The sequence below is a fragment of the Homo sapiens genome, chromosome 3 (assembly GCF_000001405.40).
Source record: "Homo sapiens chromosome 3, GRCh38.p14 Primary Assembly".
Lineage (NCBI taxonomy): Eukaryota > Metazoa > Chordata > Mammalia > Primates > Hominidae > Homo > Homo sapiens.
In genome coordinates, this window is record NC_000003.12 from 51,529,500 (window position 1) to 51,551,813 (window position 22,314).

General features: G+C 47.2%; 1 protein-coding gene and 1 long non-coding RNA gene across 8 annotated transcripts in view, besides 6 other annotated features; both read left to right on the top strand.

The window, feature by feature from the left end:
• Nucleotides 1–7,170, top strand: part of LOC105377085 (uncharacterized) — a 29,600-nt gene extending 22,430 nt beyond the window's left edge. The window contains exons 1-3 of one of the 2 annotated variants that reach the window (XR_940836.3): nt 1,619–1,706; nt 6,287–6,488; nt 6,660–7,170. This is a non-coding gene — a long non-coding RNA (uncharacterized LOC105377085). Of the gene's footprint in view, nt 1–1,618; nt 1,707–6,286; nt 6,489–6,659 lie in introns of those variants that run through there. The other variant, XR_940835.3, reaches the window with a different exon arrangement.
• Nucleotides 8,994–9,288: an enhancer, noted in NCBI's record as "tiled region #62; HepG2 Activating DNase unmatched - State 1:Tss, and K562 Activating DNase unmatched - State 1:Tss". NCBI's record gives its function as "activates a minimal TATA promoter and a strong SV40 promoter by Sharpr-MPRA in HepG2 and K562 cells {active_cell/tissue: HepG2 | K562}" and the evidence as "EXISTENCE:reporter gene assay evidence [ECO:0000049][PMID:27701403]".
• Nucleotides 8,994–9,576: a biological region, named in NCBI's record as "Sharpr-MPRA regulatory region 62".
• Nucleotides 9,177–9,576: a silencer, noted in NCBI's record as "silent region_14415". NCBI's record gives its function as "represses an Ori minimal core promoter by ATAC-STARR-seq in GM12878 lymphoblastoid cells {active_cell/tissue: GM12878}" and the evidence as "EXISTENCE:reporter gene assay evidence [ECO:0000049][PMID:35858748]".
• The window catches only part of RAD54L2 (RAD54 like 2), a 129,942-nt gene continuing 116,847 nt past the window's right edge, over nt 9,220–22,314 (top strand). For 3 of the 6 annotated variants that reach the window (NM_001322256.2, NM_001387867.1, NM_001387869.1), the window contains exon 1: nt 9,220–9,416. The gene's annotated coding sequence lies outside the window, so the exon portion shown is untranslated. Of the gene's footprint in view, nt 9,417–10,563; nt 10,612–12,089; nt 12,152–22,314 lie in introns of all 6 variants that reach the window. The other 3 variants (NM_001322253.2, NM_001387866.1, NM_015106.4) reach the window with 2 other exon arrangements.
• Nucleotides 10,107–10,196: an enhancer, noted in NCBI's record as "active region_19920". NCBI's record gives its function as "activates an Ori minimal core promoter by ATAC-STARR-seq in GM12878 lymphoblastoid cells {active_cell/tissue: GM12878}" and the evidence as "EXISTENCE:reporter gene assay evidence [ECO:0000049][PMID:35858748]".
• Nucleotides 14,678–15,319: an enhancer, noted in NCBI's record as "NANOG hESC enhancer chr3:51578193-51578834 (GRCh37/hg19 assembly coordinates)". NCBI's record gives its function as "activates a minimal SCP1, AML or CMV promoter by ChIP-STARR-seq in primed H9 embryonic stem cells {active_cell/tissue: H9 hESC(primed)}" and the evidence as "EXISTENCE:reporter gene assay evidence [ECO:0000049][PMID:30033119]".
• Nucleotides 18,358–18,857: an enhancer, noted in NCBI's record as "H3K4me1 hESC enhancer chr3:51581873-51582372 (GRCh37/hg19 assembly coordinates)". NCBI's record gives its function as "activates a minimal SCP1, AML or CMV promoter by ChIP-STARR-seq in naive H9 embryonic stem cells {active_cell/tissue: H9 hESC(naive)}" and the evidence as "EXISTENCE:reporter gene assay evidence [ECO:0000049][PMID:30033119]".

Consider the following 22,314-nt stretch of genomic DNA (forward strand, 5'->3'; position numbering starts at 1 on the left):
AGGCCAATTTAGATGCCTTTTTTTTCTTGCCTAATTGCTCTGGCTAGAACTTGCAATACATTCTGGTCTTATGGAGAAAGGGTACAAAGGTTTCAGTATTTCACCATTGAGTATGATTTAGCTGTGGGTTTTATATAAATGCCCTTTTTAGATTAAATAACTTTCTTTCTTTCTTTTTTTTTTTTCTGAGAGGGAGTCTCGCTCTGTTGCCCAGGCCAGAGTGCAGTGGCACAATGTCAGCTCACTGCAACCTCCACCTCCCGGGTTCAAGCGATTCTCCTGCCTCAGCCTCATGAGTAGCTGGGATTACTGGCGTGCACCACCATGCCTAGCTAATTTTTTATATTTTTGGTAGAGATGGGGTTTCACCGTGTTGGCCAGGCTGGTCTTGAACTCCTGACATCAAGTGATCTGCCCACCTCGGCCTCCCAAAGTGCTGGGATTACAGGTGTAAGCCAGTGTGCCTGACCAACTTTCTTTCTTTACTAGTTTGCTGAGTATTTTTATCATGAAAGCTGACCCTGCCACCAAAACTTTGGCTCTAAAGTGACTTGAGAGTGGCTACTGACTGAGCTGTTGGGAATCACTAGGGATGGTACATCCTGGCCTTCCCAGACAAACCCTCAAGTCCAGCTAGGACTACCTCTCTCTTGTCTTTCCTACATCCATGCCTTTTGTCATGCTATTCTTCAATCCGAGTCCTCCTCACCCTTAAAAGGACTTCTTCAGCAAGTCTTCTTCCTTTCACTACACTCCCACCTTGTGCATTCGCGAAGTCAGTAGTCAGGTTTAATTGTGCCTAGGAAGCAAGTACCTTGCCAGTGATAAGGTAGCCATGAGTAAGCTTGGGTTCCACATACCCAAAAGAATCCATCAGGGGCAATCCATTGTAGGCTGGTGTTCGTAGGATTGTTCCATAGTGCACTTAGGCGGGAGTATGTGGCATAAGGGTTAGTGGTATTTGTACAGTTCCAGGCTCTTTTTGATGGAACACAATTGAGATAGCTTAAGTTAGAGGGAGACCAGGCTCTGTGCGGTAACCTTGGCCACCACTTGGCTGTGGAGGTGTTGACTGTTAGGGTTTGGTGACAAGTGCTTTCACCTATGGTGCAACGGGTTTTACTAGTCCACTTGTGGGATATGCACACCATCCCTCTTACTGGGTTGGTAAGTGTTCAGGACTGCGGGCATTCCTGAGGAGTGAAAGTGAGGCTGTAGTTTTGGGATATTAGTAAGTAAGGGGGAATGTCTATGACATACCACGGCCACTGTTCACTCATACGGGCTCCCCTGCATACCCAGCAATTGGACACATTCATGGTAAGTGCGATGCGTTCTCCTAGATCTACAAACAGGTTTTTTTCCTGGCTTGGGAAGGGATACATCTCCTGGTAGTTTTTTATAAAGGGGTGGAAATACTATGGGTGGTTTTGGGGGGTAGCTGTCGGCTTTAGCTTTTGCTTTGGCTATAATCTGTTCTCTCTTTATGTCCTCTAGCACTTGAGTGTTTACTCCGCGTTGTCCAGTTTTGGTGAAACAAAGCCACTGCTTCCCTTTGCGGCATATAGCCCCATTATGGCATAATGGCATATAGCCCCATTACGACTGCCAGATACTCCTAGATGCTTTACTTTATAATAACTTTTCCCTGATTCAACACATTCTTTGACTAAGACTCCATAACAGGATCTTTCTATATGGGTATGGTAAGTAAAGGACTGTTGGATTTTTCCTCCATAGTAGAAAGACTGATAACACTCATGGCAGCTTGGAGGGCTGCTGTGGACAGCAGGGCGTCTACTGACAGCATTAAGACTGTGATGAGGGATATTTCCGTATTAAGACTTTTGGTTGGGGCCAGGCACAGTGGCTCATACCTGTAATCTCACCACTTTGGGAGGCCGAGGTGGGTGGATCATGAGGTCAGGAGTTCCAGACCAGGCTGGCCTACATGGTGAAACTCCATCTCTACTAAAGATACAAAAAATTAGCCTGGAGTGGTGGCACACATCTGTAATCCCAGCTACTCGGGAGGCTGAGGAAGGAGAATTGCTTGAACCTGGGAGGCGGAGGTTGCAGTGAGCCGAGTTAGCATCACTGCATTCCAGCCTGGGCAACAGGGCGAGACTCCATCTCAAAAAAAAAAAAAAAAAAAGAAGACTTGTGGTTGGAAGTGAGGCACAGCAAGCGGTTGGGTAGATACAGGCCATTTCTGGAAGCAGGTAATTAGTCTTCTCCATGTTTACACTTTCTAGGGGGTTTTTGGTTTTAAGAAAGTTTTTTGGTTAATTTAAGCTTGGTAGGAGAAATTGTGCTTGACGACCACTTAGCTGCTAATGTTTTGGAGGAAGACGTAGCCTTGGGGATGAGCTTGACCCTGGTGCGATGGATCCAGTTGGGGAATCTTTGGACTCTCACTGCAGCTGGTGTGCTGAGTATCACAGTGTAGGGGCCTGTCCACTTTGGTCGTAGCTTTTTGTGAAGGTCAGGTTGGCAGATGAACACGTCTGTTCCTGCAAGACAGTTATGTTGAGAGGACAAGGAGGTGTCGACAGGGAGAGGCATTGCCTCATTTGCTGCTTCATGGATGAAAGACCGTGTCTGGATTACGGAGGGGAGGTAATTCCTGAGTGGCTCAGAGTCTGGTGAGGATGGAGGCCCTAAGACAAAAGTTCGGCCATACATGATTTCGAAAGGACTATAAAAAGAGGGTGCTTTTGGTGTTGCGGTCTCATGATGGCAAAAGGGAGATTTCTTGTCCACGACAGATGGGTTTCTAGAGCTAGCTTGGTGAGTTGGGCTTTAAGGACAGAGTTGACTTTTTCAACTTTGCCTTGGCCAGGCATGGTGGCTCACGCCTATAATCCCAGCACTTTGGGAGGCCGAGGCGGGCGGATCATGAGATTAAGAGATTGAGACCATCCTGGCCAACATGGTGAAACCCTGTCTCTACTAAAAAAATACAAAAATTAGCTGGGCATGGTGGCGGGTGCCTGTAGTCCCAGCTACTCAGGAGGCTGAGGCAGGAGAATCGGTTGAACCTGGGAGGCGGAGATTGCAGTGAGCCAAGATCACACCACTGCACTCCAGCCTAGGTGACAGAGCAAGACTCCATCTCCAAAAATAAAAATAAAATAAAATAAAACTTTGCCTGAAGATTGAGCCCTGTAGGGTGTGTGGAGAACTCACTTTATTCCTCAGGATGTGGAGAACCCACTTTATTCCTCAGGATGTGGAGACACCTTAGATAAGGTGATGAAGGAGGGCCTGTTTTTGGACTAGATGGATGTTGGGAGTCCAAAACGGGGAATTATAGGCATGATGAGCGTTTGTGTGATGATATTTGCACCCTCTGAAGTTGTTGGGAATGCTTCTACCCACCCAGAGAAAGTACAAAGACTAGAAGATAGCGGAGCCATTTATCGGGCAGCATGTGAGTGAAATCTACTTGCCAATCTTGCCCGGGTATCTGGCCCTGGGCTTGGTGGGTAGGAAAAGGCAGTGGCTGGAGGGAACCTGGGTGTGACACTGAGTGGCAGATAGAGCAGGACTGGGTAATCTCTCAGACATGGCTGGAAAGGTGAGCACAAGTGAGAATAGGGCGGAGAAGTTGTAAGAGAGGTTTGTAACCGACATGAAAAGAGTTGTGGAGACTTTGGAGGATAGGAATTGTTTGAGAGTGAGGAAGAACGAAGTGCCCTTCCTTGACATACCGTGGTCCTTGCTTTTGGAGGTTCTGGGCCTGGAAGTCCTCCTTTTCTTCTGAGGAGGAAAGAGGAGAGAACAAGGACAGGGACAGAAACTGGCCTTGCATGGGTTATAGGGCTACTTGTTTGGCTACCTGATCTGCTAAAGCATTTCCGGCCGATATAGAATTGTCTGGGATTTGGTGGCCCCTGCAATGAATGATGGCAACTTTCTGTGGGAGACTGGCAGCTTGAAGGAGCTTGCTGATGAGAGAGCCATTTATGACACGAGTGTTTTTTGCAGTTAGGAAACCTCGTTCTTTCCAGATAGACGAGTGTGAGTGTACTTCATGGAACGCATAACGAGAATCCAAATATATGTTAATTTGTTGTCTGGCTGCTAGAGTGAGAGCTTGAGTGACAGCAATGAGTTCAGCTTTTTGGGAGGTGGTGCCTAGGAGGAGCGGAAAACCCCTGCCCCAGGTTTCGGCACCAGATGAAAGTTCTTGTATCGGTTCAAACCCCGAGAGCACGCCAATGGACAACACGAGGCGGTGTGGAGCAACACACTGTTTTAATGAGCGCCTGGGTGCAGGCGGGCTGAGGCCTAAAATGGCATCAGCCCCAAGTGAGGATGGGGCAGGGGTTTTATAGTCTCCTGTAAACAGGAAGTGTCCCAGTCTGACGTAACTGCTACGTGGTACCTGGGTGGCCTTTTTCTCGATCTTCAGAGTTACGTGTCTTCCGGCCAGGGGAGGTGTCTTCCGGCCTGGGTAGGTGTCTTCCGGCCGGCTCTCTTCCTGCTTCTGCTATCTTGCTGACGCACACTGCTAGCGCAAGTGGCCTTTTGCCTTGGGACTGGGCCTGAGAAGGGAGGAGTTACTCATCCCTTCAAGCTTTCAGGCCCTGGGGAGAATCTTTCACAGGGCAGTTATCTGGGGCTTCTCACTACACCTACACACCATGTTGCCCCCAAGTTCTGGTCCCTCTGCCTAGAATTCTTCTTCCCTGAGACTTTACATGGTTCTCGTTAGCATTCTTGGCATTCAGGATTCAGCTCACAGGACACCTCATTGGGTTGGTCTTACCCAATGCCTTCCCTCTTCCAACAGCCTCTCTCCCATACTGGTCTCTGTTTCGTGTTTTCAGAACTTATTAGAATTTGCAATTATTTTGTACTGTCTTTCTCACCTGTTTAGAAGGTAAGCTACTTGAGGGCAGAGACCTGTTCCCTCCTGTTTAGTGCTGTGTTCCCCAGGGCATATCAGCATCTGAAATACAACTGGGGAACAATAAACATCTGTTCATTTGAATGAACATCCATATAGGATAGGTTTCTATTAGTCACATTCTACAGACCACACTCTTCTAGGCTCAACTCTGAACATACTTCCTCATTCATGTTGGGGATGGTTATAAGCATGGGCTCTGGACCTAGATGATCTGCACTCAAACCCCATCGCTCTTCTGACTTCTCAGCTTATTTTTCCACCTTTGAAGTGGAATGTTGATGTGAGGATTAAATGAGTTAATAACTGTAAAATGCTTATGGTCATGCCTGTCATGTCTTACTAGTATTCCCCAGCATTGGGTACAGTGCCTGGTACATCTTTTATTTATTTATTTATTTATTTATTTATTTTTGAGACGGAGTCTCGCACTGTCACCCAGGCTGGAGTGCAATGGCGTCATCTCGGCTCACTGCAAGTTCTGCCTCCTGGGTTCACGCCATTCTCCTGCCTCAGCCTCCTGAGTAGCTGGGACTACAGGCGCCCGCCACCACGCCTGGCTAATTCTTGTATTTTTAGTAGAGACGGGATTTCACCATGTTAGCCAGGATGGTCTTGATCTCCTGACCTCATGATCCGCCCGCCTTGGCCTCCCAAAGTGCTGGGATTACAGGCATGAGCCACCGTGCCTGGCCAGTGCCTGGTACATATTGGTACCCAGTAAATAGTTGCTGAATGGGGAATTTTATGGCGTAGCAATTATGCTAGGCCGTCATTAGATACTGGGGTCGATTTTTAAAAAATCTCCTAGGACATTATAATCTGGGTGATGAGTGGTATACAAGCAGAAAAGGTAAAAATATCCCAAGAATGGGATGACTGTTGAAGAAAGCAATACAACCCTTTGTCACCTTGGAATCTGGTTCAGAGTGATCATGGCTTTGGCATTCAGAAGTGAGGGGGGGCCATTAAGTGTGGCTGGTGGGTGCAGGATTGATCTAACTCTCACGGAATAAGCAGGAGGTGAAACAGATAAAATGAAGAGGGTGGCTTGAACCTGGGAGGTGGAGGATGCAGTGAGCCGAGATCACGACACTGCACTCCAGCCTGGGTGACAGAGCAAGACTCCATCTCAAAAAAAAAAAAAAAAAAAAAAATGAAGAGAGTGTTTTTCCATGTGTGTTTTCATGGTGATGAAGAAAACCTTGTTCTGGTTTCTGATTAACCAACAAGTCCCTGGTGAATTTTGCCTAATCCCAGAAGGGCAGTCCCAGATCTTTTAAACTCACTTAAAGGTATAGCCAACAATAGGCAGGTGTATGCATAAATCACTCTAGGGACTTCCCCTAATAGAACCAAATCTTTCTACAGGTGAATTTTGGGGTACCATGAATCTCAGAGGTTGTTGTGCGGGCATGACATCATCCAAGTAGTCAGGGAATTTCTAGAAGGGTGGGGAAACAGATGTTACAGAAGGACAATGCCATCCTGGGAGGAGGGAATGGAAGAGGCTTCCATCACCAGGGGAGCTAGCTCTGGCCTTTGTGGCTCCTACTTTAGTGACATGAGAAAGGTAAGTGTCTATGTTTTGGTGGTTGTGCCTTAAGTCTTTTAATTGGGGGCCAGGGGATGGGGGTGGGGGGATTAACAATAGGAGTGTGTGTGTGTGTGTGTGTGTGTGTGTGTGTGTGCGTTTAAATATATCTGGCCAACCTGACTGGTTTCTTTCTCCTCTCTTTGGTAGTCTCTGGGGCTTTCATGTGAACCTGTTTCAACTCCTGAGGCCAAATATGCTCTATGTGTCACCCGGAGAGTCCCAGCTAAGAGGCCAAATGAGTAAAATGCAAGACATGAAGCTGGGAGGGGTCGGAATGCTGATCTGACCTCAGGCTGCTGGAGAGAAGTTAACTAGCTTTTTAAAATTTTTATTTATTTTTTTAAGAGATAGTGTCTTGCTATATTGCCCAAGCTGAACTTGACTTCCTGGGCTCAAGTGAGCCTCCTGCCTCAGCCTTCTGAGAAGCTGGGACTACAGAAATGTGCCACTGCACTTGGCTGGAACCAGCTTTTGAGGCATTCTTTGCCTCTGAAGAACCTAGGATGAAGTTCCTCTTACCTGAGGAAGCGGAGAAGCTTCCAGAGGCTTTGACTGTGCTGCTTTCTAACCCATGAGCCTGCTGTTTCCAGAAGGAACACTCTATTAGTCTGTTCTCACACTGCTATAAATAAATGCCTGGCACTGGATAATTTATAAAGAAGAGGTTTAATTGGCTCATGGCTGTACAGAAAGCATGATGCTGGCATCTGCTGGGCTTCAGGGGAGGACTCAGAAAACTTACATTCATGGTGGAAGGCGAAGGGGGAGCGAGCACCTCACAAGGCTGGAGTAGGAGGAAAAGAGAAGTGGGGGGAGGTGCCATACACTTTTTTTTTTTAAGACAGCCTCACTGTTGCCCAGGCTGGAGTGCAGTGGCACAATCTCAGCTCACTGCAATCTCCACCTCCTGGGTTCAAGTGATTCTCCTGCCTCAGCCTCCCGAGTAGCTGGGATTGCAGACACACACCATCATGCCTGGCTAATTTTTGCATTTTTAGTAGAGACAGGGTTTTGCCATTTTGGCCAGGCTAGTCTCAAACTCCTAACCTCAGGTGATCCACTTGCCTCGGCCTCCCAAAGTGCTGGGATTATAGGTATGAGCCACCGCGCCTAGCCGACACCATACACTTTTAAACAACCAGATCTTGTGAGAACTCACAAGAAGAGAACCAAAGGGACAGTGCTAAGCCATTCATGAAGGATCTACCCCCATGATCCCATTACTTCCCACCAGACCCCACCTCCAACATTGGGGATTACAATTCAACATGAGATTTGGGTGGGGACACAGATCCATATTAGATAGCAAAGTGCCTTTTGACAGGCAGAACCCTTTCATTACCTCCAGAAAATAATATAAATGAAAAATCAGGCATATATGTGTCTCAGAAGCCAAGGGGGTATGTAAAAATGGGAAATTTGAGAACACCTGAAAATTAGGATTTTTTTTGGAACACCTTCTGCAGATCTAAATTCCCATCAAGAGTTAGCTCCAAAAATAACCGCATCTGGTATCTTAGAGGTGTGAAGGCCTAGAAGAAAAGGAAAGTGGGGACGAGAAAGGAATTGCTATCCTCTTGATTTTATGAGTAAAATACAAAGCCTTCAAAGAAAGATGCACTTTTGTAATTTAAAACATCACTTTGTCGGCCAGAGGTGGTGGCTCACGCCTGGTGGCCCAGCACTTTGGGAGGCAGAGGTGGGCAGGATCACCTGAGGTCAGGAGTTCGAGACCCGCCTGCCCAATATGGCGAAACCCTGTCTCTACTAAAAATGCAAAAAATTAGCGGGGCGTGGTGGCGGGCGCCTGTAATCCCAGCTACTCGGGAGGCTGAGGCGGGAGAATAGCTTGAACCCAGGAGGCGGAGGTTGCAGTGAGCCAAGATCCCGCCACTGCACTCCAGCCTGGGCGACAAGAGCGAAACTCCTTCTCAAAAAAAAAAAAATCATTTTGTCAACATTCACTTATTGGGAAGAGGAGAAGAGAACCTGAGGCTATAGTGGAGAGAGCCGTTACAGTCCCATCAGTAACTGGAGCCCACATGGCCACATGGCAGTAATTCCCAACTTGAGGAAGGAGAACCTGCACCCTTAACCTCCACCTGAGTGTCAGCAATCAAGAAAGCCCCCTTTTGCCTCTGCTTCTCTTCCAGGGAATTCTGAAGACAGCTTCACTTAACAGGAAACAGGATGGTAGGTGGGGACCGAGGGTGAAAAAAGAAGAGTTACATGATGCGCATAATTTCAAGGGCCCTTGAGGGCTGAGCACAACCTATGTTGGAGGCAACAGTAGCAGCAGCATTGGCAGGATCAGTAACGATCGTACCCCGGTGTAGAGCTCCCTATCTCTGAGCTAGGTATTCGCATCACCTCATTCAATCCTAACAAGCCGCCTAGATTATTCCCAATGAGAAATGAGGAGAAACTGAGGCTCAATTGAGATGCTAAATGGCTGGCGAGTGCAAAACCATTCCGTTGGACCCACCCCTAGAACCATTCTCAGGCAGCTTCTGGCTTGGGATTTCTGTGCGGCATTCATTCCAGAAACGGTCCCATCCAGGCAGGAATCGCCGTACACCCGGCGCAGGGGAACGGCCTTCAGTCGGCTCTCAGCGGAACTTTCCTCTCCGCGGCGCGTGTTCCCGTCCGTGCGGTCGGGCGCGCGGGCCGGGAGGGGGACGCTTTCTGGCGCGGACCGTGAGCGGAGGCTGGCGAGCGCCGCCGCCGGTGGAGACCGACGCTTGGCCAGAGCCAGCCCGCGGCGCCCGGGCCTGGCCGGCTGCTTCCCGCCTCAGCCGCCGCCCCCGCCTCCGCCGCCGCAGACTTTGCCTAGGCGGGCGAAGCTGAACGTGAGGTCCCTCGGCCCTGCGCGGTCCGGCGCGGCCCGGAGCCGCGGCGCAGGAGGTGAGACGCCGGTGCCGGTTCCTCGCTCCCGGCCGGGGCCGCCGGGTCCCGCAACAATGGGGACCGACTGGAGACGCGGCCTGGGCCCCTGCCATGCAGTGGCTCGGGGCAGCTAGATGGACCCAGCGGCCCGGGCCTTCGGGGCACGGGGTCCCCCACCCGGGAAACTCCAGTGGCCGGAGGCTTGGCGGGGGTCTTGGGCCTCGACCCGGGGCCTCAGTGGCTTGATATTTGAGGATTTCGTAGCCGGGGAAGGGAGTCGTAGGGACACGGAGACTTAACTGTTGCCCCTCTGCGCTTTTGGCTCTGGATGCTGGCGCCCCGGAGGATGACCAGAGCGCGGTGTGGGGTTGGGAAAGTATTTGGAATTTTAGGGGCTTCTGTGTGTCTAATCCCTAAGGCGCATCTGGATGCGTCTCCCCGACCCCCTCTCCTGAGGTCTGGGAATTTGGCAGACTGGGGTCGGGCTGGGGCAGAAGAGGCATTGAGAGTTTAGCTTCCCTGAGGTAACTGGTGATTAGTTCCTGGAAAGGCAGGAGCTCAGCTGGGCACAAGAGAGTTAAGCAGAGAGCTGGATCCTCCGGGGCCCTGATGCACCCTGACGAGGAGTGGTTTTCAGGCAAGGAACTTATCACAGGAGTGAGTAGTGGCACACGGTGAGTAGTGCTAGCTGTCTTGTCGTTAGGGTGAGGCCGGTGGGAGTTGTGGTTTGGGGAGTGTAGAGGAGGGTTGATAGGCTACTGAGATTGGAGAATCAGCTTTATGTGGGTCATGGTGGTGGCAGCCTGGGAGATGAACAAGGAAACTTTGCAGAGTGGGCTTCCTGATGGAGAGTGACCTCTTACTGCGTGGGAGTGGGTGACTCAGATCTGTTAGGATTCCTGTTGCTTGCTAGGGATTGTGGCTGACTATATTGGTGGCTGAACATTGAGGTGGATGCAACTGGAAGGGTTATGTGGGGCTGGATGAGTTTGTTCCCACGTAGAGGACAGTGTGGACCTTTCTTACTCCAAGTCAGAGTGGTGACTGTCATTGACAACATTTTAAGTAAGGAATTTCTTTGTGGTATTTGGATCCAAAGCTTTTCTCTGTTCATTTTTTTCTTTCCTCCGTTGTTTTTGAATTGTGACTCATACTTTCTTTTCAGCACTGTGGCTATTTGAAATGATAGACAAACTTAGACTTCATCATACATGTAAGTTCCAGGCGTTTTCAGTCCAATTCTTATAAATCTAAATTTAAAAGCTTCTTTTCACTAATTTGTGTACCATTGTTTAATGTGTGCAACACTAAAGAAGGATAAGAAAACTCTAACATTTATGTTGTTAAATGGTCTTTCCATCCTTAAATCCATGAAATTTCATCTTCTCTTACTGCCATGAAGTGAGTTCGTTGAATCTATTAAATCTTAGTGACTCTCATTTCAGCATCCTTGTTTACTCTCACAGGACATTGTCTTCACTAGAAGTATTATCCATCTTCAATGAATTTGGCCTGTACACTGTCTCCCTGTGACAATCTATATCATTGAAAGACAGTACGCAAACTCCAACTCTGAGGCCTGCAGCTGTGGGCCGGAGCTCTGTATGTATTATTCAGGCAAAAGTTGGTGTGTTGTCTGTAGGTGAGGTTTAAAGGGAACCCTACATGAACAAAAACAGTATCAGAATCATTGTACCTTCTGAGTTTAGAGTGGTAGGAAATATAGCCTAACTGGAGTCTAGTATAAACTTTCAAGTGCAATGTTAGGTAATTCTGTTTGTAGTTGTACTGATAGTTCTCATTATTGTAAACATTATCTTTTTCCTTAAGCTTTAAATAATTATTTTTCTTCAATGGTATTCTTTCTTTCTTGGCTGGGTGTGGTGGCTAACGCCTGTAATCCCAACACTTTGGGAGGTCGAGGCGGGCATATCACATGAGGTCAGGAGATTGAGCCTGCATGGCGAAACCCTGTCTCTACTAAAACTACAAAAATTAGCCGGTGGGGTGGCATGTGCCTGTAGTCCCAGCTACTCTGGAGGCAGAGGGACAAGAATCACTTGAATCTGGGAGGCAGAGGTTACAATGAGCCGAGATCGTGCCACTGCACTCCAGCCTCAGCGACAAAGCGAGACTCTGACTCAAAAAAAAAAAAAAAAAAAAAAAGTAGTATTCTTTCTCTTTCTCCATTCATTCTTTCATAAACGAACATTTATTGCATTTTGCCAGGCACTGCTTTGGGCACCTCAAAAATGCTGATGATATTTTTTAACATTTTGTTAGTGGTAGTTCCTGGTTTAGAGGTGGTTATAGGTCTATGAAGAAAGAAGTGATTCAGGTATATCAAGCTTTTAATCAGTAAAGACATTGAATAAAGTTTTTATAATGTATTAATTTTGACTGGTGACAGTTAATTATCTTAACATCTCCATGGAAAAAGTTTAGCTATCACTGTGAGTTCATGCTGGTATGGGATTATTTTTGCACTATTTTATACACCTGTTAATTTTAAGTACTCCTGTAGACAAACCACAGGTAAAACATTTTGTTTTGGTGTATGTCTCAACGAGCAGTGATTTACAAATACTATATGTGTTCAGATTCCCCAGGAAGCCATCACACTCCTTCCCACTGTGGTTTTGGGAGCATGAAGGCGTTGCTTATCCCCTATGTCTGGTTCACTGTATGTAGGCTGGGAGTGTCTGCTGATCACTTGGAGTGCTGTCCCTTGGAACAGGAGGAGTAAGATTGAGGTAAGGCTCAGTCTGTTTGAAAGTCATTTGCTTCTTAATTTTTACTGCATAAAATATAATGTAAATCTGAATGTTTTTTGCTTTGTTACTCTTCATTCTGATCTATTAAAATGAAATTCTGCCTTTTGCTGTCTATCTCTCTGTGTATATATCTTGGGCAAAAATAAATGAAGAAATGTAAAATCAAGGTATTTAAATAATAAATGAATTCTTCAAAATAGCTCTCATTTTCCATCTGGACTATTCACTTGATCAAAGAAAATAAAAACTTGTTTATTTGTTGCCTTAAAGGCAAGGTGATTGCTTAAATAAATGTTTTTGGCCACCTCTTAGTTAAATGGATCAACTTCAGAAACTCTTGGAAATAAGGCTTAGAGTTTTCTATTTCTTTAGAAAAAGTCTGAGAGAAGAAATGTCTGGTACAATGGGAAGAGCTTGGTTTTTGGAGTCTTCCCACTTTTTCTTGCTCAATTTTTGACCCTTGATAAGCTGTTAACCTCTCTGAGCTTTGGTTTGGTTTTGTTTTTCCATCTGTAAAATGGGCCTAATACAGCCTTCTTTGCAGATTGCATCGAGGACTGGAGATGAGGGCCTCAAGCTTTGAGGGTGGTCAGTGCTGGTTGTCAGTAGTAGTTAATGTGTATTATTATATAGGACCTCTAATCTCAGTAGTATTAATAGTAGGAATGTGGCTGGGTACTGTGGTGCTGTGCAGGATTCAAGTTTCCTTGTCTGGTGAGGAAGGCAGCTGTCTGCACCTGTTGGCACTCTGGACAGGTGAGGAAATTTTGAGGTTGTCTTTTTTTTTTTTTTGAGACGGAGTCTTGCTCTGTTGCCCAGTCTGGAGTGCAGTGGTGCGATCTCGGCTCACTGCAAGCTCCACCTCCCAGGTTCACGCCATTCTCCCGCCTCAGCCTCCCTGGGATTACAGGCCTCCCGAGTAGCTGGGACTACAGGCGCCTGCCACCACACCCGGCTAATTTTTTGTATTTTTAGTAGAGATGGGGTTTCATCGTGTTAGCCAGGATGGTCTCGATCTACTGACCTCGTGATCCGCCCGTCTTGGCCTCCCAAAGTGCTGGGGTTACAGGTGTGAGCCACCGCGCCTGGCCAAGGTTGTCTTTATTCAGTGCCGGTAGGCAGGAGTCCACACTATAAAGTCCAAGGTCATTCCTGGCAGTAGAAGGTTTTTTCCTGACAGTTTGTATGGGGAAGCCAGGAGGTAACTGTTTGGCATGTTCTTGTTTGGAAACAGCGGGCTCTCCCATTGATAGAACACTAAAGTATACCAGGCAGCATTGTGTTCTATATGGCCCCTGATCAGGACATTTCTCTGGCATTCTTCTGCTGGCACCAGAGACCTGGCTTTGGTGTTTTTGCCAGGAATTCTCCAGATGCAGGAGAGATTTGTCATTTTCTTTAATTGGGGCTACTTTGGTAAAATCTAGCACTCTGTTCAGGCATGTTTTTGATGAACAGACTTAGTTATAGAACTTTCAGTTTTATTTTTTCCCAATAAGACAGGAAAAAAAAAAAGTCCCACTAATATTCAAGAGAAAAATAAGTAGAGGCCAGAAGTGACTTGAAATAACTGGTCTCTAATTTCTTGCAGTCTTGCTGTAGTCAAATGCCCCCTCCATTCTGCTGGTCTTTAATTCCAGATAAGAGTAAGTAATGGCCAGGCGCGGTGGCTCACGCCTGTAATGCCAGCACTTTGGCAGGCCAAGGCGGGCGGATCACCTGAGGTTGGGAGTTCGAGACCAGCCTGACCAACATGGAGAAACCCTGTCTCTACTAAAAATACAAAATTAGCCAGGCATAGTGGCGCATGCCTGTAATCCCAGCTACTCGGGAGGCTGAGGTAGGAGAATTGCTTGAACCTAGGAGGCGGAGGTTGCGGTGAGCAGAGGTTGTGCTAGTGCACTCCAGCCTAGGCAACAAGAGCGAAACTCCATCTCAAAAAAAAAAAAAAAAAAAGAGTAAATAATACACCTCTGGTCTCTAACATCTAGACCCTGGCCTGTCTCTGCTTCAGCATCTCATAAGGACCTTTATGACCTGGCCCCTTCTTTATCTTCCTTTCTAGTTTTTCCTCTGCCACATTTACTCTGGCACGTGAGGCTCAGTTATAGTGAACTCCTTGAAGGTCCCAGCATTCTTAGCTATTCCTTCTGTGATATTTTGCTCTCTATTCTACAGCTTGGCCGACTCTAAGGCTTGAACCAGGAGTTCGGGCACCACCTTCTCTTAATAAAAGCCTTCCTTGATTGCCTCCAGGTTAAGCAGAATGCCTCTCTTCTGTATGACATTGGAGTCTGTGCAAGCTTTTATAATCATACTGTCCTGCTAAGTTTTGGTATTTTTAAAAAAAATTATTTATATATTTTTTCCTCAAATTCCTTTTTACCATGTTTTGGTGTTTTTTTTGTGTTTCCCATACCTAGTTTATTACCTACTTCAAGGCAGGAGCTTGTCTTGTTTATATCCCAGCACCTGACCATTTCTGGCACAGTGTAGCTACTTGGCAAATGTTTGTTGAGTGAACAAATGAATAACCTTTGCTTATGAAATAACAGGAAATCATTCACTGTGGAACTAGTGGTGTGATGAGAGTTCTGACTTCATGGCTGCCTCTGATCCTGGCTGAAGCAGTATCTCTGCTTTTGTTTTTCCAGGTTGCTAAAGGCAACACTTTGTTGTGAGAATGTGTTGCTTATTCATTTGTTCATAATTTTGAGGCTGGAGGGCTATTACTTGCTTTTTTGGGTCTTGCAAACATTTCATTTGGGAGTAAATGTGACAGTTCTTCATTGGTATTGTCTGATCTTCTGCAGGCCATTTACTGCTCTGAGTGCTTTGTCTTCATATGTAAAGAAGTGATTAGTTGGTTTGGGCCACAGGGTATCTAGACAACTAACTACTGATAAGCCACCACCTGCTGGGAATGGGTAATGACTTGATTGATTGATTGGAGATGGAGTCTTGCTCTGTCACCCAGGCTGGAGTGCAATGGCACGATCTTGGCTCACTGCCTCAACCTCAACCTCCTCGGTTCAAGCTATTCTCCTGCCTCAGCCTCACAAGTAACTGGGACTATAGGTGCGCCACCATGCCTGGCTAATTTTTGTATTTTTAGTACAAAATTTCTCCATGTTGGCCAGGCTGGTCTTGAACTTCTGACCTCAAGTGATCTGCCCATCTTGGCCTCCCAAAATGCTGGGATTATAGGCATGAACCACTGCGCCTGGCCTGGGAATGGGTAATGGATTTAACACTAGGATATTGTGAATTTTGCTGCCTGGTTGGCCTTTTGGAGACCCATCTGAGCTCAGTGTCACCATATACAGGAAATAACGATTATTTGAGCAAACTTTATTCAGGAGTTAGAATTCAGTGACTATAAAATTATCTGTATCCGTTTTCTGCTCAGTCTAATACTGTACTAATTCTGAAGTGTCTGGAGCTGTATGTTCTGAGTTATTTACCTAGAAGTTACAGAATTGTGCCAATTTATTTAGTTACCCTCCTGGATCTTTTTTGTTGTTGTTGTTTTGTTTTTGAGACGGAGTCTTGCTCTGTCGCCCAGGCTGGAGTGCAGTGGTGTGATCTCAGCTCACTGCAACCTCTGCCTCCCGGGTTCAAGTGATTCTCCTGCCTCAGCCTCCTGAGCAGCTGGGATTACAGGCGCGTGCCACCACGCCTGGCTAGTTTTTGTATTTTTAGTAGAGTCAGGGTTTTACCATGTTGGTCAGTCTGATCTTGAACTCGTGACCTTGTGATCCACCTGCCTCTGCTTCCCAAAGTGCTGGGATTACAGGCGTGAGCCATGATGCCTGGCCACCCTCCTGGATCTTGGTAGTAAAATAACTTGAGTATACTACCTAAATTACTTTGAATTAGTTTTTTTAAGATTTTTTTTAAATTTTTAATTTTTTTTTGTTTTGAGACAGAGTCTCTCTCTGTCACCCATGCTAGAGTAAGTACAGTGGCATGATCATAGCTCACTGTAGCCTTGACCTCTCAGGCTCGAGCAATCCTTTCACCTCAGCTTCTTGAGTAGCTGGGAGTACAGGCATGCATGACCTTGCCTGGCTAATTTTTATATTTTTTGTAGAGGCAGGGGTCCCACTATGTTGCGCAGGCTGGTCTCAAACTCTTGGGCTCAAGTGATCCTTCTGCGTTGGCCTCCCAATCAAATTAGTTTTTATGGGTGATTAGACTGCATAGAAATCCCTACTGAAGGCTGGGTGTTAGGAAGGTTATCAAAGCCTACATCAATTCTTTTTTTTTTTTTTTTTTTTTTTTGGAGATGGCGTCTCACTCTGTAGCCCAGGCTGGAGTGCAATGGCATGATCTCAGCTCACTGCAACCTCTGCCTCCTGGGTTCAAGTGATTCTCCTGCCTTAGCTTCCCAAGTAGCTGGGATTACAGGTATGTGCCACCGCACCTGGCTAATTTTTGTATTTTTAGTAGAGACAGGGTTTCGCCATGTTGGCCAGGCTGCTCTTGAACTCTTGACCTCAGGTGATCCCCCCTCCTCAGCCTCCCAAAGTGCTAGGATTACAGGTGTGAGCCACCACGCCTGGCCAAATGCAATTATTCTTTCATGCAAGTGACAAAATAGCAGACTGCAAAAAATAAAAGCATGAAAAGTAACTGTAGTTAGGTTAAAGATAAAAGTTGATATCAGATAAAAAGGAAAACTGAAGGCCAGGCACTGTGGCTCACGCCTGTAATCCCAGCACCTTAGGAGGCTGAGGCGGGCGGATCACCTGATGTCGGAAGTTTGAGACCAGCCTGATCAACATGGAGAAACCCCATCTCTACTAAAAGTACAAAATTAGCTGGGTGTGGTGGCACATGCCTGTAATCTCAGCTACTTAGGAGGCTGAGGCAGGAGAACCACTTGAACCTGGGAGGCGGAGGTTGTGGTGAGCCGAGATCGTGCCATTGCACTCCAGCCCAGGCAACAAGAGTGAAACTGCGTCTCAAAAACAAAAAACAAAAAACACTGAGGCACTTTAAATTTAGCAGTAGCTGTTAAAAATTGATGACATTTTGTGAGCAGTGTTGAGAAGTTAGGAGGAAGTTGTTGAGGCCAGGCGCGGTGGCTCACGCCTGTAATCCCAGCACTTTGGGAGGCTGAGGCAGGCAGATCACCTGAGGTCAGGAGTTTCAGACCAGCTTGGCTAACATGGCGAAACCCTATCTCTACTAAAAATACAAAAATTAGCTGGATGTGGTGGTGCACGCCTGTAGTCCCAGCTACTTGGAAGGCTGAGGCAGGAGAATCGCTTGAATCCGGGAGGCAAAGGTTGCAGTGAGCCGAGATCTCACCACTGCACTCCAACCTGGGCAACAGAGTGAAACTTGACTCTGTCTTTAAACAAAAAAAAGAAAGGAAGTTGTTGGTTGGCCAGGTGCAGTGGCTCATGCCTGTAATCACAGCACTTTGGGAGGCTGAGGTGGGAGGGTTGCTTGACCCCAGGAGTTTAAGACTAGCCTGGGGCGACATGGTGAGAGCTTGTCTCTACAAAAAAATTAAATAAAAATTAGCTGGGCAAGGTGACACACACCTAGAAGTTATGGACCACATCTGAGCTACCAGTCTCCCAGTTAGGAGATCGAGGCGGGACGATTGCCTGAACTCCAGAGATAGAGGCTGGAGTGAGCTGTAATTGTGCCACTATCCTCCAGCCTGGGCGACAGAGTAAGACTCTGCCTCAAAAAAAAAAAAGGAAGATGTTATAATATAGATTGAAAGCAATACAAACAGAAAATTTCAGCCAGTGGAGGCACATTGGAGGTACTAACATGTGCTTATGGTTTTATAGTACCATCAATAGTAGGCGGAAATGAAAAATGTTTGCTTTACTGTGATAAGCATACTTTGCGTATGTATGATGTTGTAGTTTATAAAACACTTTTTTTTTTTTTTTTTTTACATTTGAGACAGGGTCTGACTCTGTCACCCAGACTGGAGTGCAGTGGCATGATCTCAGCTCACTGCAGCTTCCACCTCCTGGGTTCAAGTCATCCTCCCTCCTCAGCCTCTTGAGTAGCTAGGACTAATGGCATGTGCCACTGTGCCCAGCTAATTTTTGTATTTTTTGGAGAGAGAGGGTTTTGCCATGTTACCCAGGCTAGTTTCGAACTCCTGAGCTCAAGCGATTCACCCGCCTTGGCCTCACCAAGTGCGGGGATTACAGACGTGCCCAGCCTATAAAATACTTTCTTTCTTTCTTTTTTTTTGTTTTTGAGATGGAGTTTTGCTCTTTTTGCCCAGGATGGAGTGCAGTGGTACGATCTCGGCTCCCTGCAACCTCTGCCTCCTGCGTTCAAGCGATTCTCCTGCCTCAGCCTTCCAAGTAACTGGGATTACAGGCACCTGCCACCACACTCGGTTAATTTTTTTGTATTTTTAGTAGAGATGGGGTTTCGCCATGTTGGGCAGGCTGGTCTTGAACTCCTGACCTCAGGTGATCTGCACATCTCGGCCTCCCAAAATGTTGGGATCACTGGTGTGAGCCACTGCGCCGGCCACTTTCTTTTTTTTGAGACAGAGTCTTGCTCTGTCGCCCAGGCTGGAGTGCAGTGGCACGATCTCAGCTCACTGCAACCTCTGCCTCCCAGGTTCAGGCGATTCTCTTGCCTCAGCCTCCTGAGTAGCTGGGATTACAGGCACCCGTCATCATGCCTGGCTAATTTTTGTATTTTTGTAGAGATGGGGTTTCACCATGTCGGCCAGGCTGGTTTTGAACTCCTGACCTCAGGTGATCCGCCTGCCTTCGCCTCCCAAAGTGCTGGGATTACAGGCATGAGCCACCACGCCCAGCCAACATTTTCATATATATATTTACTTCATCCTCCCAACAACCCTGTGAGGCAAATATCCCCATTGTACAGATGAGGAAGCAAACCCGAAAAGGTGAAGTGGCTTGCTTTCCAGTACACAGAGCTGATAATAAGAAAAGCTGGGAATTGCTGCCTGTTTTCTGATTCTAAGTTTAGAGCCCTTTTTATGTCCTCATAAGATATTGTTAGGGCTTCAGTTTGGGATGACAGTCACCCCTTATTTCAGGCTGCTGGCCAATAGAGGATACACACAAGGAAGATAGTCCTACACAGTGAGTAGAATCTCTGCTCTGTCATAGCAGCCCAGTAACTCTGCTTTTTTTTTTTTTTTTTTTTTTTGAGATAGAGTCCTGTTCTGTTGCCCAGGCTGGAGTGCAGTGGCGCCATCTCCGCTCACTGCAACCTCCGCTTCCCGGGTTCAAACGATTCTGCCTCAGCCTCTCAAGTAGCTGGGATTACAGGTGCAGGCCACCATGCCCGGCTAATTTTTTTGTATTTGTTTTTTGAGACACAGTCTTGCTCAGCTGCCCAGGCTGGAGTGCAATGGTGCGATCTTGGCTCACTGCAATCTCTGCCTCCTGAGTTCAAGCTATTCTCCCTGCCTCAGCCTCCTGAGTATCTGGGATTACAGGCGCCCACCACCACGCCCAGCAAATTTTTGTATTTGTAGTAGAGATGGGGTTTTGCCATTTGGCCAGGCTGGTCTCAAACTCCTGGACCTCAGGTGATCCATCTGCTTTGGACCCTGAAAGTGCTGGGATTACAGGCGTGAACCACCACTCCCGGCCTAGCAGCCCAGTAACTCTGGAAGAGCTGGCTGCTGGAGGAACCTAGAGAGCTCTACTCTCTTTACAGATTGCTTAGTGGTCAGGAGACAAATCCAGAGCCAGGTGGACATAGTTCGGCAATTGAGGCCCATGAAACAAGTAGGAGTCTTTCTCCTAATGTATATTGTATAGAAATCGGGAGAAAAAGGCTGGGCGCGGTGGCTTATACCTGTAATCCCACCACTTTGGCAGGCCGAGGCCAGGGCGGGGCGGTGGAGGGAAATCACCTGAGGTCAGGAGTTGGAGACCAGCCTGGCCAACGTGGTGAAACCTCATCTCTACTAAAAACACAAAAATTAGCCAGACGAGGTGGTACACACCTGCAATCCTAGCTACTCGGGATGCTGAGGCAGTAGAATCACTTGAACCTGGAAGGTGGAGGTTACAGTGAACTGAGATCACGCCACTGCACTCCAGCCTGGGTGACAGAGCGAGTCTCCATCTCAAAAAAAAAAAAAAAAAAGGGGGTGGGGAAGGAAAATGGATGTATTCTGGCTTGAGCTCTGCTGTCATTGTGCCTTCCAGTCCCACTGTCTCCACACCCTATCTCTTCATTTTTCTTTCCCTGTGTTTCACCTACCTCCCCTACTAGCTTGGCTCTGGTTGGTCATGGTCCACAATTCCAGTATTCCTTCCCCAGGTATTAGAACCCTTTGCTTCCCTGACTTTGTGCCCTGCCGGCTATGCTAGTTGCTGTCTCTGAATTCTCTTGCCTGGCTGCTTTTCACTGCCCCTAGGGTGCCCATTCCCAGTGTTTCTGGACAGTCAGGAAAATGAGCTGTCTTGGTTGCTGGTAGTTCCCACTGCCTCACTTGAGCTGATCGCTCTCTGCCCCTCAGGGTGCTCCTGTGCTGCCTCCTAAGGGTCCCATTTCCTATAGCAGCTGTTTACATGTTTCCCAAAGGTGCCTTTCCCCCAGGCTCTGGACCAGTGACCTCATTTTAGGGCTTGTGCTCTCAAATATTTTCCCCATTGTTTCTGTCACCATACTTTCGTCATCCAGTCTGTTGCTCTTAGAAAGTCCTTGACCTTTTTTCCCTGGTTACATAAACAATGTATGAGTACAGTAAAATTCAGGCATTTTTAAATAGGGAAAGGAAACCATAATTCCATATCTCATTATTAACTACCATTAAGAATTTAGGCCTGCTGGGTGTGGTGGTTTAATGCCTGTAATCCCAACACTTTGGGAGGCCAAGGTAGGTGGATTGCTTAAGTCCGGGATTTCGAGACCCGCCTGGGCAACATAGGGAGGCTCTATAGCTGAGTGTGGTGGTGCGCCCCTGTTTTCCCAGCTACTCAGGAGGCTGAGGTGGGAGGATTGCCTGACCCTGGGAGGTAGAGGATGCAGTGAGCTGCAATTGTGCCACTGCACTCGGGCCCAGGGCAACACAGTAAGATCCTGTCTCTAAAAATAAGTAAATAAAGTCCAGGCACGGTGGCTTACACATGTAATCCCAGCATTTTGGTTTGGGAGGCTGAGGTAGGCAGATCATTTTAGGCCAGGAATTCAAGAACTGCCGGGCCAACATGGTGAAACCCTGTGCTTACTAAAAATATAAAAATTAGCCGGTGTGGTGGTACATGCCTGTTAATCCCAGCTACTTGGGAGGCTGAGGCACAAGAATCCCCTGAACCCAGGAGGTGGAGATTGCAGTGAGCTGAGATGGCACCACTGTACTCCAGCCTAGGTGATAGTCATACTAACAAATTTGTGTACGTGTGTAAGAGAAAGTAATTCCTTTGTACAGAAATGGGGTTATAGTCTATCTACCTTTCTGTGACTTTTTTTTTTTCATTTAATCTTTTTTTGTTGTTGAGACAAGGTCTCAGTCTGTCACCTAGGCTGGAATGCAGTGGCATGATGATAGCTCTTTGTAGCCTTGACCTCCCAGGCTCAAGCAGTCCACCTGCCTCAGTCTCCTGAGTAGCTGGGGCCACAGGTGCATGCCACCATGCCCAGCTAATTTTTGTATTCTTTGTAGAGATGGGGTTTTTCTATGTTTCCCAGGCTGGTCTTGAACTCCTGGGCTCAAGTGATCTGCCTGTGTCGGCCTCCCAAAGTGCTGAGATTACAGGCATGAGCCATCATGCCTGGCCTAATTTAATTTTTTTTTTTTTTAGGTGGAGTCTCACTTTGTCATCCAGGCTATAGTGCAGTGGCGCGATCTCGGCTCACTGCAACCTCCGCCTCCTGGGTTCAAGTGATTCTCGTTCCTCAGCCTTCCAAGTAGCTGGGATTACAGACATGTGCCACACGCCTGGCTAATTTTTGTATTTTTGGTAGAGATGGGGTTTCACCATGTTGGCCAGGCTGGTCTCGAACTCCTGACATCAAATGACCCACCTGCCTCGGCCTCCCACAGTGCAAAGATTACAGGCGTGAGCCACTGCACCCGGCCTGTAGGATACATTTCTTTTTCTTTCTTTTTTTTTTTTGAGATGGAGTCTCGCTCTGTCGCCAGGCTGGAGTGCAGTGGT